The following is a 17,696-nucleotide window of genomic DNA, read 5'->3' on the forward strand; positions in this document are numbered from 1 at the left end:
TACTCAGCCTTATCTTCCTTTTGCTCTTTGTTTCTGTCAAACTCTGGCCCCCTGCTCCCGCATCATCTCCTAAACAGCCTGTGTCCACTCCCAGCAACAGGGCACTCTCTTCTCCAACTCAGCAAGGTTTTTTTTGGCCCCTGCCATAGGTGCTAACTCTCTTAGTCACTGCACATACTGACCTGTGCTGCTTTATATCAGGAAATATCACAGGCTGGGGAAAGTGGTTGTAAGTTTAAGTGCTTGCAGAAATTGACTCCAGTCCCTAAACACCCAGCAAAATGCTGTTCTGACCCCCAGGGCTTCAGAGGCTATTTATTTAGTCCTGGTGTAAGTGCAAATTAATGTCCTTGGTCATACTCTGATGTCCTTCAGCAGAAGGATAGGAATGATTTATTGGCAGTTACTGTATGAATTTTGCTGCTCTGTCAGTGACTTAAGATGGATCACTCTCTGGTAAGAGAAGAATCTAAGTCCTTTCTCTGAAAGCCACTTGTGGTTTTAACATTTCTGGAGCCTGATTATCCATGTCCTGCTCTCAGAGATACAAGGTGTGTGCAGTATAGGTAGATGATATATATGGGAATAGAGTGACACTTTTATTTACACATTTTGCCTTACATTATAAGTAAAGGTGATTTTTTTTTTAATGTAGCTATTTCCATTCTAGAAGTAATTGATTTTCACAGGCAAAAACAGCAGTTATGTTGGAAAAAGAACAAGAAGGCAGGGGCCTAGAAGCGCGTAGAAGTGAATGAGTAATCTCAGGAAGTACTAAAAGGGACCTTGGAGATCAGCTAGTCCAACTGTCCATTTTACAGGTGAGAAAAATGAGATCCAGAATTCTGATTTTCCATATTTCACATAACCAAAACATGAGCTGAGGATTCAGGCCTGACTTCAGTGTAGTTCTTTTGATTCTTATTCCTTTTCTCTTCCCTCCATCTTTTCCTCTCCTGCCCACTCCCAAAGTTCCTGTATTCCTCTAAGCTTTTGCATTTTACTCTGCGCAGCCTTTAGATGGATTGGAAAGCTCTCTAATGTTTCACTGAAAGGACCATACTGCACTTCACCACATACCTTCCTGTGGCTGCCCTGAAGTACTAAAAATAAAGTATTCAAGGATAGCCTACATCTGTAGTAGAACAGTACCTGAATAGTGTCAGCTTTTTGCTGCAGGGGTATTTCAAATTTGACTTTTAATTTAGAGGTAGCTAATATAAACCTTTTAAAAAATTATTCCTAAGTAATCCTTTGCACTAGGAACAAACAAACAAAAAATTACATTTGGGTATATTGACCATGCTAAGAAGAAACTGGTGCCCAACCAGAAGGTGATACATGGCTGTCTTCTAACAAATGCTTCATCATTTTGCCTTGAAGATATATTTTGTGGATATGATTTCACTTTATATTCTAAGGTCATTTAAGTTGAAGTTCACTGCCTTTTATAGTACTGTTTTCCACTTCCCTATTGCTGTTTTAGCATGAGAGAGCCAACTATCCTTAGTGGAACCTCTCTTCTCCACATCACTCTCAATTTATTTCTATTTCATAGGTCCATTGTAAAGCCTAAAAGGTCTCCTTTAGATTCAGGAAATGCAGGAGACCAATAGAGAGGACATAGGTGAATTAAGTACTTTTTTCTTCCTAATTAACAGATTTAAATTCTATCTTTTAAAATGGTTAGTAGAAAGAAATATGCCAGTCTTCATTATCCTTTGCTTATGTCATACATGTGATAGAAAATCATCAGAATGCAGTCTGAGATGAAAGAGACCTTAGAAATTACCTCCTAGTCCAGCCCCTAATATTGTAAGTAAGGAATCTGAGACCCAGAGAAGAGAAAGGTTTTGCTCAAGCTTACCCAGTCAAGTAATGACAGCCACACCAACCTCCCACTGCCAGTCCAGGACTCCTTGTAGTACGTCATCATAAACTTAAAAAAAAAGAACAAGAATGGTTATTCAAACAACTTTTTTCAAAAGCGCTGTTGCCTTCCCATTAACAAAGATTGAGTTATATCAGACTATTTTCCCCCAAATTTAAATTTCTCTTATAAGCTTTGCCACAGCCATTCTGGTAAGCAAAAGTTTTTTGTTTTTTGAGACAGAGCCTCACTCTGTTGCCCAGGCTGGAGTGCAGTGGCACAGTCTCGGCTCACTGCAACCTCCGCCTCCCAGGTTCAAGCGATTCTCCTGACTCAGCCTCCTGAGCAGCTGGGATTACAGGCATTCACCACCACACCCAGGTAATTTTGGTGTTTTTTAGTAGAGATGGGGTTTCGCCATGTTGGCCAGGCTGTTCTCGAACTACCGACCTCAGGTGATCCACCCATCTTGGCCTGCCAAAGTGCTGGGATTACAGGTGTGAGCCACCGTGCCTGGCCAGCAAAAGTTTTAATTACACATTTTTCTTCATTTCTTCAGGTCAGTCTAATAAACATTTTAGTAGACATTTATTAAGCACCAACTATGTGCTTAACACTGTGCTGGCAATACAAAGACAGTCCTTGCCTTCCAGAAAACTACCTTTTATCTGTACTAAAACTACATCAAAAGCCCTTTAGTGGGGCAAAAATGACAGCTTCCATGTTTTATTCTTAGAATGATTGGTGACGTAGATAGAGAATTCTAGTTTCCTTCTCTACCTCATCTTCATTCCATCTACCGGCAATTCATGCTAATCCACAGTTGTTTGCAGGGTTGACAGAGAAGGTGACTATAGCAGAATCAGGCTTGCTAATGGGTGTATTCTACCACTTGTGCTGTCACCTGTTACTGGTGTAATCCACGTATACATCTGTGCTTCCCATTCACTTTGCAGGTATAGCCGAGACCATGTGGTGGAAGGGGAACCGTATGCTGGTTATGATAGACACAATGCAGAGGTAGCAGCCTTTCACTTGGACAGGTGCGTATGATCACAGCAGCTTATGTTCATTTTGTTTGCTTTCAAAAATCTTTCTTGGAGAGGACTCGTGGACTCCTTCAGAAGGATGCAACACTAATAAATAACTTGTTATCGATTTTAGATAGCTAATTGACTAGTTCCATTAAACTTGTATGAGTCTCATAATTTGGTTGGCACCAGGAATACTGAAGTATTTTACTTCCATGCTTCTTTAGGTCATTTCATTTCTGGCCTGCTCTGTTATTATCATCAGTGAAGATATTCTTGGTAAATAAACTTTGAACTTAAATCTCTGAATTGAACTGGTCGTTAATTGGGTCTAGCCATCCTGTTGTTTTGTTATGTATTTGTTTTAAGTAAGTAATGCTGACTTATTTCCATGTGCTGGAAACATATAGCATGAAATATGAGTTTTATTATTCTTTATACAAACTATGCACAGCTTCAAAAACCAGAATAATTACAAAAGGAAAGGGCCAGGCGTAGTGGCTCATGCCTGTAATCCCAACACTTTGGGAGGCCAAGGTGGGCAGATTGCATGAGCTCAGGAGTTCGAGACCAGCCTGGGCAACATGGTGAAACCCCGTCTCTACTAAAATACAAAAAATTAGCTGGGCGTGGTGACAGGCACCTGTAGTCCCAGCTTCTTGGGAGGCTGAGGCAGGAGAATCGCTTGAACCCAGGAGGCACAGCTTGCAGTGAGCCGAGATCGTGCCACTGCACTCCAGCCTGGGCGACAGAGCGAGACTCTGTCTTTAAAAAAAAAAAAAAAGGAAAGAAAATAGATGTGAATTATAAGTTTGTAAGTTAACTAGGAAAATTCTTTTTTTTTCTTTTTCAGCAGGTTACTAGTCAGGAACCTTGCAGCTGAACTGTCTGGTATCCCAGTTACTCTGCTGACCAGCTCTTTCATAAGGCCATATTGGCTGACTTTAAAAGAAACTGCTAACAATATTTGTTTTAAAAAATTAATTTATGACTGGATGCAGTGGCTCATACCTGTAATCCCAACACTTTAGGAGGCTGAGGTGGGCAGATCACTTGAGCCCAGGAGTTCAAGACCAGCCTGGACAACATGGAGAAGCCCCGTCTCTACTAAAAAAATACAAAAATTAGCTGAGTGTGGTGGCGTGTGCCTATAGTTCCAACTAGTGGGGAGGCTGAGGAGGGAGGATTGCTTGAGCCTGGGAGGTCGAGGCTGCAGTGAGCTGTGATCACACCACTGCACTCCAGCCTGAGCAACAGAGTGGGACCCTGTCTCAATAAAATAAAATAAAATAATAAATAAATTTTTTTTCTGAGACAGAGTCTCACTCTGTCCTCCAGACTGGAGTGCAGTAGCCTGATCTTGGCTTACTGCAACCTCGACGTCCTGGGTTCAAACAGTTATCCTGCCTCAGCCTACCGAGTAGCTGGGACTACAGGTACGCACCACCACACCCAGCTAATTTTTTGTATTTTTAGTAAACACGGGGTTTCACCATGTTGGCCAGGCTGGTCTGGAACTCCTGACTCGAGGTGATCCGCCCACCTCAGCCTCCCAAAGTGCTGGGATTACAGACGTGAGTCACCACGCCCAGCCTAAAAATGAATTTATAAGGAAACCAGAAAAAAAAAGGTGAAATGTTTGTCTTTTTCTGAATTAGGATTTTGTAAACATAAAAGCAATAACTTAAAAATCACAAATTCAATAGTCTTGACTAAATAAAATAATGAACTTATATAGCAAGAGACAAAATTTAAAAGCAAACAACAAACGGAGAAAACACTTGAATCTAATGTAATCTGAGTATTAATAGCCTTAATATGTGTTTATACAAATATTAATGGTCTTAATATGTGTTTATACAAACATATGTATGTTAAAACTCTATTAGAAAATGGGTTAAGAGTATAAACATTGTCAATTGCTAATAAATATGTGGGGTGGGGGGAGGTTCATCCTCACCAGAAATTTTTAAAAATTCAGATGAGATACTGTTTTTACCTGTTGAAAATGGCAAAGCTTAAAAAAAAGATAATACTTTATTGGGAGGAATACATTGAGATTCATATGCTGCTTATGGCATTGTTAATTGTTTCAGTCTTTTTGTTAAGAACCCTAGCATTATATATCAAAATTAAGGATAAATATATCAACATTAAGGAATGTTCATATCCTTTGAACAAATAACTGCTTTTTTATACACATATCTAAGACATTTCTAGGAACTACCCTAGAGAAAGAATACAAAATTCAAAGATATATATACAACAGTCTTAGCTGTAGCATTTTCAATAGTGGGAAAACTGGTTGTAACCTAAACATCTATTGATATGGAAAAGCTTAGATATGTGTGTACAATACCATGAATTTTTGCTGCCCCTTTTAAGACCTAGTGGTGGACAGTTGGATAAATCCTTCTCCTCACTTAATGGCACACTAGAATCAGGCTTTCCAAGACCTTATCTGTTTGCCTCTTTTCTTCGTCCCCAACTCCCTTCTTCCTATCCTGTTTGTTGGAAACCAACAGGCATAAAGTTCCTCATTTCTGTACCAGTGTTTTGTATTGCCCAACACACTAAGTTTTGTTGATATATATGTAAAGTGATATTTCATTGTTATTTCATTGTTATTTTGTATTTCCCCATTACTGGCAAAGTTTATCTTTTCACAGCAGGACACCTATTTGTTATCTTAGAGTATTTGTGTACTTTTGATGTTAACTAACTATAATGTTTCAGTTTGTGACTTGGGCTTTGGGAGTCTTGTATTTAAAAGTCCTTCCCTACCTCAAAGTCTGAAAGATGTTCTCTTGCCAGTCGCCCTGTCACTTTTGTTAAGTGCCACCGTAGCCAGCCTCAAGTGCCACAGTAACATTGCCCCTCAATGCTAAACTGGCTGCTGTTCTTGGGCTTGGCAATTTTCAATGGGAAGAAAAAATACTTCCCAATCTAGGCTGCGTTTGTAGTCCTAGGTACCAGGGAGGCTGAGGTGAGAGGATCACTTGAGCCCAGGAGTTCCAGGCTGCAGGGAGCTATGATCATGCCGCTGCACTCTGGCCTGATCAACAGAGTGAGACTCAAAAACCAACCACCCAAACAAACAAACAAACAAACAAACAAAACACACACAAAAAACCCTTCCCAACCTTTTCCATTTGTGGATCTTGATACTTTTCTGCTTTGGGTTGCTGTTTCTTCATTACAGTCAGATTTAACCACCTTCCCTTGCCTCTGGGGGTATCTCTGGATTTCTATGTTATTTTGACAAATCTGTTGATCTTGCCTTTGTGGCTTTTCTAAGACTGTGTTTAGGACAGAATCAGCAGCCCTAAACAATAGCCATTTGTAAAGGCTTTCTAATGACTGGGGAAAAGGTTCATGATACAATGATGAGTACAAAGCAAGATATAAAACTGCATACAATATAATCTCGATTGTATGTATATACGTAAGTGTGAGTGTGTGTTTATATACCCACACTTAAAGGGAAAGCATGCTTATATGCCAGAATGTCAGCACCTGTAATTATTTCTGGGTTGTGGAATCATAGGTGATTTTTATTTTCTTCATTGTAAATTTTCTGTGTGTTCCAAATTCTGCCCCTCCAACTTTTGTTCAGTTGGTGTATATTTTTTAGCCAGGAAATTTCATTTTTTTAAAATAAATCATTGTTTTCAACCTTTTAGATTATTAGAGATATCTTCAAATGTCTCTATATTTAATTTGCTCTGTGGGCTTAGCCTTTTAGATCAGTCTGCTTTTTTTTTTTTAACCAACATGCTGTTTTATTTAAAGATTTGAACCCATATATGAGTTTGGGTCCCATTTTTTTTCTAATACTTTCCTAAAATCTATTTTTAATTTTTATTATGAAAAAATTTCTATCATACAAAAGTAGAAAGAATAGTATAATGAGCCCATATACCCACTCTGTAGATTTAAAAAGTGTTCACATTTTATCAGATTTGTCTTATTCTTTTTGCTGAAATGTATATTAAAATAAATTATACACACCTTCACATTAAATTCCTAAATATATGTACCTCTAAAAAATTAGGTTTAGCTACTAGCTAAAAACCCTTTACACATTTGACATGATGAACTGTAATTTTTAAGACTGTTACTTAAAAAACATCCCCTAAGATTTTTCTCTTCTGTTCTTCAATCTTCCAAACCAGGATTCTGGGTTTCCACCGAGCCCCCTTGGTAGTTGGCAGATTTGTTAATCTTCGGACAGAGATCAAACCTGTCGCCACAGAGCAGCTGTTGAGCACCTTCCTAACTGTAGGTAAGAAGATTGTAGAGGACATTTATATAGGGGAATGATTAATAAGTTAAAATGGGGCATTGTTGAGCAAGCTGGCTCATGACTTTTAGGAATTGAAGAACTCAGTGGAATACAAAAGCAAATCAGACAACCAGCTCTCAGGTTATTTGGGAAAATGAATCTAAAGGAGATGGCAGGAAATTGAAATTTTCCTGTATACTTTGTGTTGTCTGTGACATAGGGAGTGAGGTCATTTAGTGATGGTGAAAGCAGGTGATTATTTCCTTCTGCTTTCTCTTAGAGCTATTAGTAAGTCTCAAACTCAGAATTTGGCCTAAATTGGTTATTGTTTGTATATCATTGGCTCAGTTGTTTTTACATATATAATATGTTTCCTCAGGAACTGTCTCCCATCTCCTTAGAATTGAGGAAATCTTAAGGCAACTCTTTAGGAGGCTCAGAAATTATTTTGTAAGGTTGTATTTGGACCTGGAAGATCAACAGGCCTACTCCTTCTGCAAGGGTTAACCTATAACTCATTGTGCCTGGAACTGGCTATGTTGCCCCTGGCCTCTGTTTTCCATTATCTTAACTCTGAGGTAAGAGATCTGAGCTAAAATTCTCACTCCTGTTGTTGTGAGCAAGATGAGAATGGGAAGAATTCAAAAGTGCGGTGGTTTCTTGTTTCCACCTCTTCACCTTGACTCTTTTTCAGTGATACAGTGCTCTGCATTAGGGCATGACTGTTGAAACAGACATTGCAAGATGAACTTCACCTTGCTTTTTTTTGCTAGAGTGAGTGGATTTACATTTAAAATGAGGAAAAACTGAATATTTAAAGGACTTATGACAGATTCATCATTCAGAATTTCAACTTATAAGGCTTGGGCTATACTTTTCTTATAGATAACCAAAAGCATACAATGTTAGATATTGTATCAGATATTTGTTTCAGATATTTTCTAATCACCTTTGGTTGTTCAGTTTTATGTTTAGCAAGCATGAATTCCTGGTGGGTGCTGGGATTGAGGGAAAGAGTCCAAGAAGAAGAAGCCAGGGTACCTGCTCTTCAAAGGCTCACAGATGGTCAACTCACACATTGTATGAAGTGTGGGTAAGGGAAAAGCAGAGGATTTGTAGAGGAGGTTATTAACACTTGAACTGAGTATTGAAGAACCAGTATGAGTTACCAAGGCAGCAAAGAGGAAAGGGCATTGGCAAAATAATGGGAATATTAATGAGAACAAGGGCATAAAGACTGGAAAGTAATAGGTAGAGGGATTTGGCTGGAGGTAAAGTTCTTAATAATCGTCTGACCTTAGCATAACCTTGTTGTTATTGTTGTGTTTTTAGACTTTATTGTTTTTAGAGCAGCTTTAGGTTCACAGCAAAACTGAGAGGAAGGTACAGAGATTTCCCAAATAACCGCTGCCCGTCACATGCATAGTTTCCCCCATTATCAACATCTCACATCACAGTGGTACAGTTGTTACAATTGATGAGTCCACACTGACACATCATAATCACCCAGACTCCATAGTTTACATTCCCATTCACTCTTGGTGTTGCACATTCTGTGGGTTTGGACAAATATATAATGACATGTATACATCATTATAGTATCACACAGAGTATTTTCACTGATCTAAAAATCCTCTATGTTCCACCTATTCATCATTCTCCACCCCTCTCTCCAATCCCCTTGCAACTACTGATCTTTTTACTGTCTGCATAATTTTGCCTTTTCCAGAATGTTACATAGTTGAATCACAGTATATAGCTTTTTCAGAGTGGTTTCTTTCACTTAATAATACACATTTAAGATTCCTCCATGTCTTTTCATGCATGGCTTGATTTATCATTTCTTGTTATTGCTGACTAATGTTCCATTGTCTGATGTACCACAGTTTATCCATTTACCTATTGAATGGCATCTTGGTTGCTTCCATGTTTGGGCAGTTGTGAATAAAGCTGCCATAAACATCTGTGTATAGCTTTTTGTATTGACATAAGTTTTCAGCTCTTTTGGGTAAATACCAAGGAGTGTGATTTCTGGATCATATAGTAAGAGTACATTTAGTAAGAAACTGCCAAATTGTCTTCCAAAGTGGCTGTACCATTTTGCATTCCCACCAGCAAAGAGAGAGTTCCTGTTGCTCCTCATCCTTGGCAGCATTTGATGTTGTCATATTTTGGATTTTGACTATTCTAATCTAGTAGGTGTATCTCATTGTTTTAGTTTGCATCTCCCTGATGACATATAATGTACAGCATCTTTACATATGTTTTTCTGTCATCTGTATATCTTTGCTGAGGTGTCTGTTAAGGTCTTTGGCTCATATTTAAGTTAGGTTGGTTGTTTTCTTACTGTCAAGTTTTAGGAGTTCTTGGTATGGTATGGCCGAAAGTCCTTTGTTAGATGTGTCTTTTGAAAATATTTTCTCCAGCTGGACACGGTGGCTCATGCCTGTAATGCCAGCACTTTGGGAGGCCGAGGTGGGCAGATCACTTGAGGGCGGGAGTTCGAGACCAGCCTGGCCAATATGGTGAAACCCTGTCTCTACTAAAAACACGAAAATTAGCTGGGCATGGTGGCACACACCTGTAATCACAGCTACTTGGGAGACTGAGGCAGGAGAGTTGCTTGAACCCAGGAGACAGAGGTTGCAGTAAGCTGAGATCACGCCACTGTAACTCCAGCCTGGTCGACAGAGTGAGACTCCATCTCAAAAAAAAAAAAATATTTTCTTCAAATGTATAACTTGTTTCATTCTCTTGATGCAATTTTTAAAATGTATTATTAAGTAAGTTGGCCTATAATACAAGAATAACTAAAATCTGTGTAGCCCCGGCAACCTACCCAAGTATGTTCACACTGTTACTTTATCTGATCCTTTTGACAATAGCATGCAATAAGTAGGTGAGGTGTTACCCACATTTTATACCTAAGAGTGGAGGCTTAGAAGTGTCTAATGACTTTCCCAAAGTCACAAAACTACTAATTGTTAGCCAGGATCCAAACTCAGATTTTAAGACTCTAAAATCTTTCATTAGCTTATAGTCTTTATTTATTCAGTACGACTTTATTTCACTTCTGTTTGACAGGTACTGAGCTAGGTGCTGAATATGCAAAACTGAATGACCTTCTTATCTTCAAGGATCTTTGTCTAGTGCGGGAGCCAGACATGTACAAAGGGGCTATGGACTGTTGGGGTGGGGGTGGGAATAGGGAGGTGGCCAAGAAGTTATGGCCAGGTGATAATTCGTGAAGGTGATATTTTAACCAAGTCTTAAAGGGAAAATAGCAGTCTCTTAGGTAGATACAGTGGGAAAGAATATTTTAGGTTTGTATTTAACATTTTTTGTGCTATAGATACCTTTGGCAGTCTGGAAAAGCTTACAGATCCTTTCTAAAAATAAAGGTTTTAAATACATACAGAAATTAAAATACATAGACTTATAAATGAAACCAATAATATTGAAGTATAATTTCAGTATCAAAAATTTTAAAAAGCAAATTTAGATACAGTAATATGTGCTTTGTTATTTAACACATTAAATAAGATCTATCAGATTAGTCACTACTGTGATTTCAAACTATGATTATAAATAGTATTTTGAGGTTATCTGCAACAATGCTAGTATGATATGAAAAATCCGTGATTTCTTGTAGAGACAAAGTCACATGTAATACAAATATGACGGTTTGCTCCCTGCCATCATAATAGAAGGAAATGCTAATTTTTAGTAGAGGTTAGTGAAAATAAAGATGTAATTTTGTTCCCATCCAGCTTACAGACCCTATGAGTTGACCCTGTTCCAGGTAGAGGACAGAGCCTGGACAAGGGTGATGAGCAATGAGAGAAGAGCAACAAGCTCAGGAGACTGTGCTGTTTAGCTGAAGGAAAGGATGTGTGGGGGCTGGCCAGTGAGGAAGACAGCTGGTCAGGACAGTGTCACTGAAGGGCCTGTGTACCATGCTTAGGAGTAGAGACTTTCTCTTTAGGCACTAGAAAGCCATTAAAAGAGTTTGAATATGGAAAAATCAGATTTGAATTTCAAGAGCGAATTGTGGCAGCATTGTCAAGGGTGCATTGGGAAGGGGAGAATCAAGAGCTGAGAGCACTCTGGGAGTGTTGTGAATTCATATGTAATAAGAGAACTAAAGCAGGGACAGGGAATAGAAAGATTTAAGGGCTATTCAAGAGTTGGAATGGAAAGAATTTGGTGAACATTTGGGCTGGGAGAGCAATTGAGAGAGAAGAAAAAATTAAGAATGACTCCTAGGTTTCTGGATTGGATGACAAATGATTAGTGGAGCTGTTAACTATTTTAGGAATGTAGGGAGAGGAGCATATTTAGGGAGGTGGAGCAGAGAAAGATAATGAATTTAATCTTGGATATTTTGTTTCCTTCACAGGCACATCCAGGAGTAAGTGTAGACTAATCATTTAGGAGCTAAAGCCTACAGTTTAGGAGAAAAGGCTTGGCTGAAGCCATAGACATTCTTGTCACAGTTGGTAGTTCACCCAAGGAGAGCATGGAGACTGAGTTGATCAGAAAACCAGTTTTTAAAAGTTTGGCAATCCAGGAAATAGAGGTTCAGAGCCTCAGCTCATGGTACTGAAACAGGGATATTGAACTCTGGAAAGGTAGATCGAACCATGTTATTAAAATAAGTAGCTGGCATCGATTGGTGTCTGACAATATGTCAGGCACTGTGCTAAGCATTGCCATGGATTGCCTCATTCACTCTTCACAACTCAGTGGTGGAGGAGGTACTATTGTTGTCTCCATTTTACAGAAGTTGCTTAGAGAGACTAAATTACATGCCCAGAGTCTTGCAATCTCATCATTAAACTAGTCTAAATGTTAACCCCAGGAACCTGACCTCAGACCCCACATTCTCCCTTCTAGTTATGAAGATTCTTACTTACCAAACTCAAGAGTTTGGATTGTATCCTATAGGAAACAGGTTTCCTATACCAGGCAGTATTTTGTTTGTTTTAGGGCTTTACATTTTTATTTGAATCAGTAATGGATTCACACAATTCAAAATTCAGGGAAATTCAGGCCAGGTGCGGTGGCTGACGCCTGTAACCCCAGTACTTTGGGAGGCTGAGGCAGGAGGATCACATGAGGCCAGGAGTTTGAGACCAGCCTGGCCAACATGATGAAATTTCATCTCTACTAAAAATATAAAAATTAGCCGGGTGTGGTGGTGCACGTCTGTAATCCCAACTACTTGGGAGGCTGAGGCAGGAAAATCACTTGAACCCGGGAAGTGGAGGTTGCAGTGAGCCGAGATCATGCCACTGCACTCCAGCCTGGGAGACAGAGCAAGATTATGTCTCAAAAAAAAAAAAAAAATTCTGTGAAATTCAATGAAAAATTTTCTCGTCTGTCTAGTTCCTTCCCCTTTCTCCAAGTGGCAACCTTTAACTAGTAATTTCCTTATGTCTTTTTGTATGAAATATATATATATTTTTTTATTTATCTCTACCATTTTATACAACATATGGCACACTTTGCATACTTCTGCATCTTACTTTTTTTACTTAATAGATTCTAGAAATCTGTATCACATCAAAAGAGCTTCATTGTTTTGTTGTTTCACACTGCAAAGTGTTCCATTATTTGGGTCTACCATAATTCATATAACCAGAATTTTATTGGACTTAAATGTTGTTCCAATATTTTGTTTTTACAACCAGTGTTGCCCAGAATTACCTTGTATATATGTCAGGGGTCCCCAACCCCTGGGCTGCGGAATAGTACCAGTCTGTGGCGTGGTAGGAACTGGGTTGCACAGCATGAGGTGAGGGGTGAGCGAGCATTACCGCCTCAGCACCAGCTCCTTGTCAGATCAGTGGCAGCATTATATTCTCATAGGAGCACAAGCCCTATTGTGAACTGCACATGTGAAGGATCTAGGCTGCACGTTCCTTATGAGAATCTAATACCTGATGATCTGACATGGAGCAGTTTCATCCTGAAACCATTCCCACCCAGTCCCCAACCCCTGTCTGTGGAAAATTGTCTTCCACTAAACCAGTCCCCAGTACCAAAATGGTTGGGGACCACCCATATATATTATTTCACACATGAGCAAGTATTTCTAGAAATGGGAGTGCTAGGTCAAAAGGCACGTGCATTTTAAGTTTTGATAGGTGTGGCCACATTATCCTATATAGATGTTTAACCAGTTTATATTCCCATAGAAATATATAAGAGTGACTCTTTCTGCTAGCTTCACCAACAATATGTTATTAAACTTTTGGTTTTGTGTATTTCATATGAAGCATCTTTTTGTTTGAGAGCTATTTGTATTTTCTGTTAACTGTCTTTGCATATCCTTTGCTCATTTTCTGCTGTGTCATTGGTCTTACTGACGTATAGGAGTTCATCCCTAGGGCATATAGTCTTTTGTGACATGAGATGTAAATACTCTTTGTCGAATTTTTTTTTTTTTTTTTTTTGAGATGGAGTTTTGCTGTGTCACCCAGGCTGGAGTGCAGTGGCACAATCTCGGCTTACTGCAACCTTTGCCTCTCAGATTCCAGTGATCCTCTCGCCTCAGCCTTCCGAGTATTTGGAATTACAGGTGCACATCACTGCTCCCAGCTAATTTTGTATTTTTAGTAGAGACAGGGTTTCGCCATGTTGGCCAGGCTGGTCTCAAATTCCTGACCTCAAGTGATCAGGAGTTCACTTAGTATGATAGTTGCCAAATGGTGATTTTTTTTTTGAAATGCTCTCTCTCAGCAGTATCACCAAGTGATGATTTTTGTATTTTTATTTTTTTGAGACAGAGTCTCACCCTGTCACCCAGGCTGGAGTGCAGTGGCACGATGATGGCCCACAGCAGCCTAATCTCCTGGTCTCAAGCAATCCTCCTACCTCAGCCTCCTGAGTAGCTTGGACTACAGGCATGAGTCACCATGCCTGGCTAATGTTTTTACTTTTAGTTTTATAGAGACAAGGTTTCATTGTGTTGTCCAGGCTGGTCTCGAATTCCTGGGCTCAAGTGATCCTTCTCCCTTGGCCTCCCAAAGTGCTGGGATTACAGATGTGAGCCACAGTTCCTGGTCATCAAATGATGATTTTTTTCATTCTATCGTTGCTTCTAGACCTATTAGTTGTCATTCTGTTGAAGGGTAGAACTCCCCTGCCTCCACACATTCATGTGCTTATTTATATCACCATGAACTCACTATGAGCTACAATTTATGACCATTATAATTATTTGGATGCTTAAACTGTTCCACATTTGGCCGGTGGGAACCTCTACAAACTAGTTCCTGTGTCATTTTGGAATGGTCCCATCATTCTCCAAGCACTTTCTTGCAACTGGCATAACACTGTGGTCCAGGATCATTAAAAGGAACCCTAGTTCCTTTTTTTTTTGAGATGGAGTTTTGCTCTGTCTCCCAGGCTGGAGTGCAGTGGCGCAATCTCGGCTTATTGCAAACTTTGCCTCTCAGGTTTCAGCGATCCTCCTGCCTCAGCCTTCCAAGTAGTTGGAATTACAGGTGCACACCACTACTCCTTAATTCCTTTTAATGTGGTACTAAAATGGTATTTAGGAACTACCCTGTGGGCGCTAGGTGTGCTCATTACTTCCTGGGTGTCATTGTTTCCATGTTCTCTTGAAGGACAGAGGTGGGAAATATATGTATATGTGTGCATACATACACACAAGATACATCTGTATCTTTTTCTGAATCTGTGTGTATTAAAACCATCAATTCAGGCCTGGCGCAGTGGCTCACACCTGTAATCCCAGCACTCTGGGAGGCTGAGGTGGGTGGATCATGAGGTCAGGAGTTCTGAGACCAGCCTGTCCAATATGGTGAAACCCCATCTCTAATAAAAATACAAAAACTAGCTGGCATGGTGGTGGGCGCCTGTAGTCCCAGCTACTCGGGAGGCTGAGGCAGGAGAATTGCTTGAACCCGGGAGGCGGAGGTTTCAGTGAGCCAAGATCATGCCACTGCATTCTAGCCTGGGCAACAGAGCGAGACTCCATCTCAAAAAAAGAAAAACAAAAAACAAACAAAAAAAAACACCCATCAATTCAAACTAGTATTTCCAATTCTAATTCACCACTGCAGGATTTATCCTGGCTTTCTCTCTTTCTGTATGTTTAACTCTCTTCTCCACTGGTGAGAAGCCTGGTTACTGTTACACTCAGTCTGTCTACTTATTTGCTCAACTTCCCCCCTTCCTCTATACCTACCCCTCTATGTAACCAAACTCTTGGCCACACTTGGCCTAGTACATGACCTCTTTTGCCCTCCCCTGGGCACTCTGGCCAAGATCTCAGCCCTAATGAAGAAGAGGAGGATGTTACTTTCCTTTAATTAAAGTGAGTTCAGGCCGGGCGCGGTAGCTCACACCTGTAATCCCAGCACTTTGGGAGGCTGAGGTGGGCGGATCACCTGAGGTCAGGAGTTTTGAGACCAGCCTGACCAAATGGTGAAACCCTGTCTCTACTACAAATACAAAAATTAGCCAAGCATGGTGGCATGCGCCTGTAATCCTAGCTACTCAGGAGGCTGAGACGGAAGAATTGCTTGAACCTGGGAGGCAGAGGTTGCAGTGAGCCAAGATCTTGCCACTGCACTCTAGCCTGGGCGACAGAGCAAGACTCAGTCTCAAAAAAAAATAAAATAGTGAGTTTAGAGGCCAGACATGGTGGCTCATGCCTATAATCCCAGCATTTTGAGAGGCTGAAGTAAGAAGATCACTTGAGTCCAGGAGTTTGAGCCCAGCCAGGCCAACATGGCGAAACCCCATCTCTACCAGGAAAATACAAAAATTAGCTGGGCATGGAGGCATATACCTATAGTTCCAGCTACTCAGGAGGCTGAGATGGAAGGATGGCTTGAGCCCCAGAGGCAGAGGTTGCAGTGAGCTGAGATCACGCCACTGCACTCCAGCTTGGATGACAAAGCCAGACCCTGTCTCAAAACAACAACAACAACAAAAACAAAACAAACAAAAAGTGAATTTGAAGGATACTGGTGATGGTAGTTGACACCAGAGAGTGAGACTGGGTAGAAAGGACACAGGAGGCAAGGGCAACTTACTTTTGGGTGTATATCCTTTTGTACTTTTTAAATTTTTTTTACACCGTGTGCTTTTTTATTACCTATACAGGAAAATAAATGTTTGAAATATAGTAAACTCAGGGTCTTTGTTTTCACCATGCTTATTTACTTAGCTACTCTGTTCTGCATTATTTGGGAGAGAACTTGGAGTCTTCGTTATTTCCTTAAGTGTATTTGGCTCCTTTCTGTCCTTTAGGAAACAATACTTGTTTTTATGGGAAGTGCTATTACTGCCGAGAAACAGAACCAGCTTGTGCTGATGGAGACATAATGGAGGGATCTGTCACACTTTGGCTTCCAGATGTGTGGCCTCTGCAGAAGCACCGTCACCCATGGGGCAGGACTTACCGAGAAGGCAAATTGGCCAGGTAAATGCTCCTATGAGCCATTACTTAATTCTCCCCTGTGCCTAGCCAGGTGCCAACTCTGTAAAGGAGCCAGCAGTTCTGTCCAAGAGTGAAAAGAACTGTGGAGTCAGGGGCAAACCGGTAGGTAGGAACTCTGTCTTCTCTTTGTGTGTAACAGTGCCAGGTACAGTGTTGTCACTCAGTGCTGTGATGCTGCTTGTCTCCAGGTGGGAGTATGATGAGAGCTACTGTGATGCTGTGAAGAAAACGTCCCCTTATGACTCTGGCCCGCGCCTCTTGGACATCATTGACACAGCTGTCTTTGATTACCTGATTGGCAATGCTGACCGCCATCACTATGAGAGCTTTCAAGATGATGAAGGCGCTAGTATGCTCATCCTTCTTGATAATGCCAAAAGGTGAGACCAGCAGGACTGTCCTTGTCAGGGAGGGGTTTCTGTATATGAAAGAAGGGCATTTTCCAGAGCATCCTGGAGAATATCCAGAATGCAATTGATAGGCAACATCCTTCTTTTTTCCACTTGGAGTCTTTGCTATTGGTACCTGTCCTTCTCTCCACTCTCAGGGATCTCAGTACTTCAAAAAATGGAAAAGTGGTTCTTCCAAGGAGTCTAAGACTCTATGAGCCTCTTCTCAGACAACTGGAAAACCAGGGTTATTCATTTGTTACTACCTACATCGTTCTTTCTTGGCTATGATATTTGGTGTTTAGAAGCTTGAGAAATACAGATGTAATAGAGTGTGGAATTTGTCGTTAAATTTATTCTATCCAAAGGTTCCTGCAATTAAAAAATTAATTTATTTGGTAGGATGTTTTGCTATTTTTGTGTTTGTCTAGGTCCATACTTTTGCTGTCATGGGAAGAAGAGCTGTTGCCTAGTGTGGATTTTATATATAACAACAAGTTACTTTTATCTTGAATAAAAAATGTTTATTCATTTTGAATAAATAGAATGTCCTTATTTTTTTAGGCCTGAGCTATTTGGAGAGCACATTGTATTTCCATTTCATATTCTGCATTCTCTGTGGTGGCCGGTTTAGTGCCACACT

At 40.2% G+C, this 17,696-nt stretch overlaps 1 protein-coding gene across 7 annotated transcripts in view; it reads left to right on the top strand.

The window, feature by feature from the left end:
• The window catches only part of FAM20B (FAM20B glycosaminoglycan xylosylkinase), a 59,234-nt gene that overhangs the window by 30,119 nt on the left and 11,419 nt on the right, over positions 1 to 17,696 (top strand). For all 7 annotated transcript variants that reach the window (XM_047436093.1, XM_047436094.1, NM_001324310.2 and 4 more), the window contains 4 exons: positions 2,827 to 2,913; positions 7,077 to 7,186; positions 16,475 to 16,646; positions 16,853 to 17,044. In XM_047436093.1, coding sequence (XP_047292049.1) covers positions 2,827 to 2,913; positions 7,077 to 7,186; positions 16,475 to 16,646; positions 16,853 to 17,044 — 561 coding nt within the window. The remainder of the gene's footprint in view (positions 1 to 2,826; positions 2,914 to 7,076; positions 7,187 to 16,474; positions 16,647 to 16,852; positions 17,045 to 17,696) is intronic.

The sequence above is a fragment of the Homo sapiens genome, chromosome 1 (genome assembly GCF_000001405.40).
Source record: "Homo sapiens chromosome 1, GRCh38.p14 Primary Assembly".
In the NCBI taxonomy this organism is placed as follows: Eukaryota; Metazoa; Chordata; class Mammalia; order Primates; family Hominidae; genus Homo; species Homo sapiens.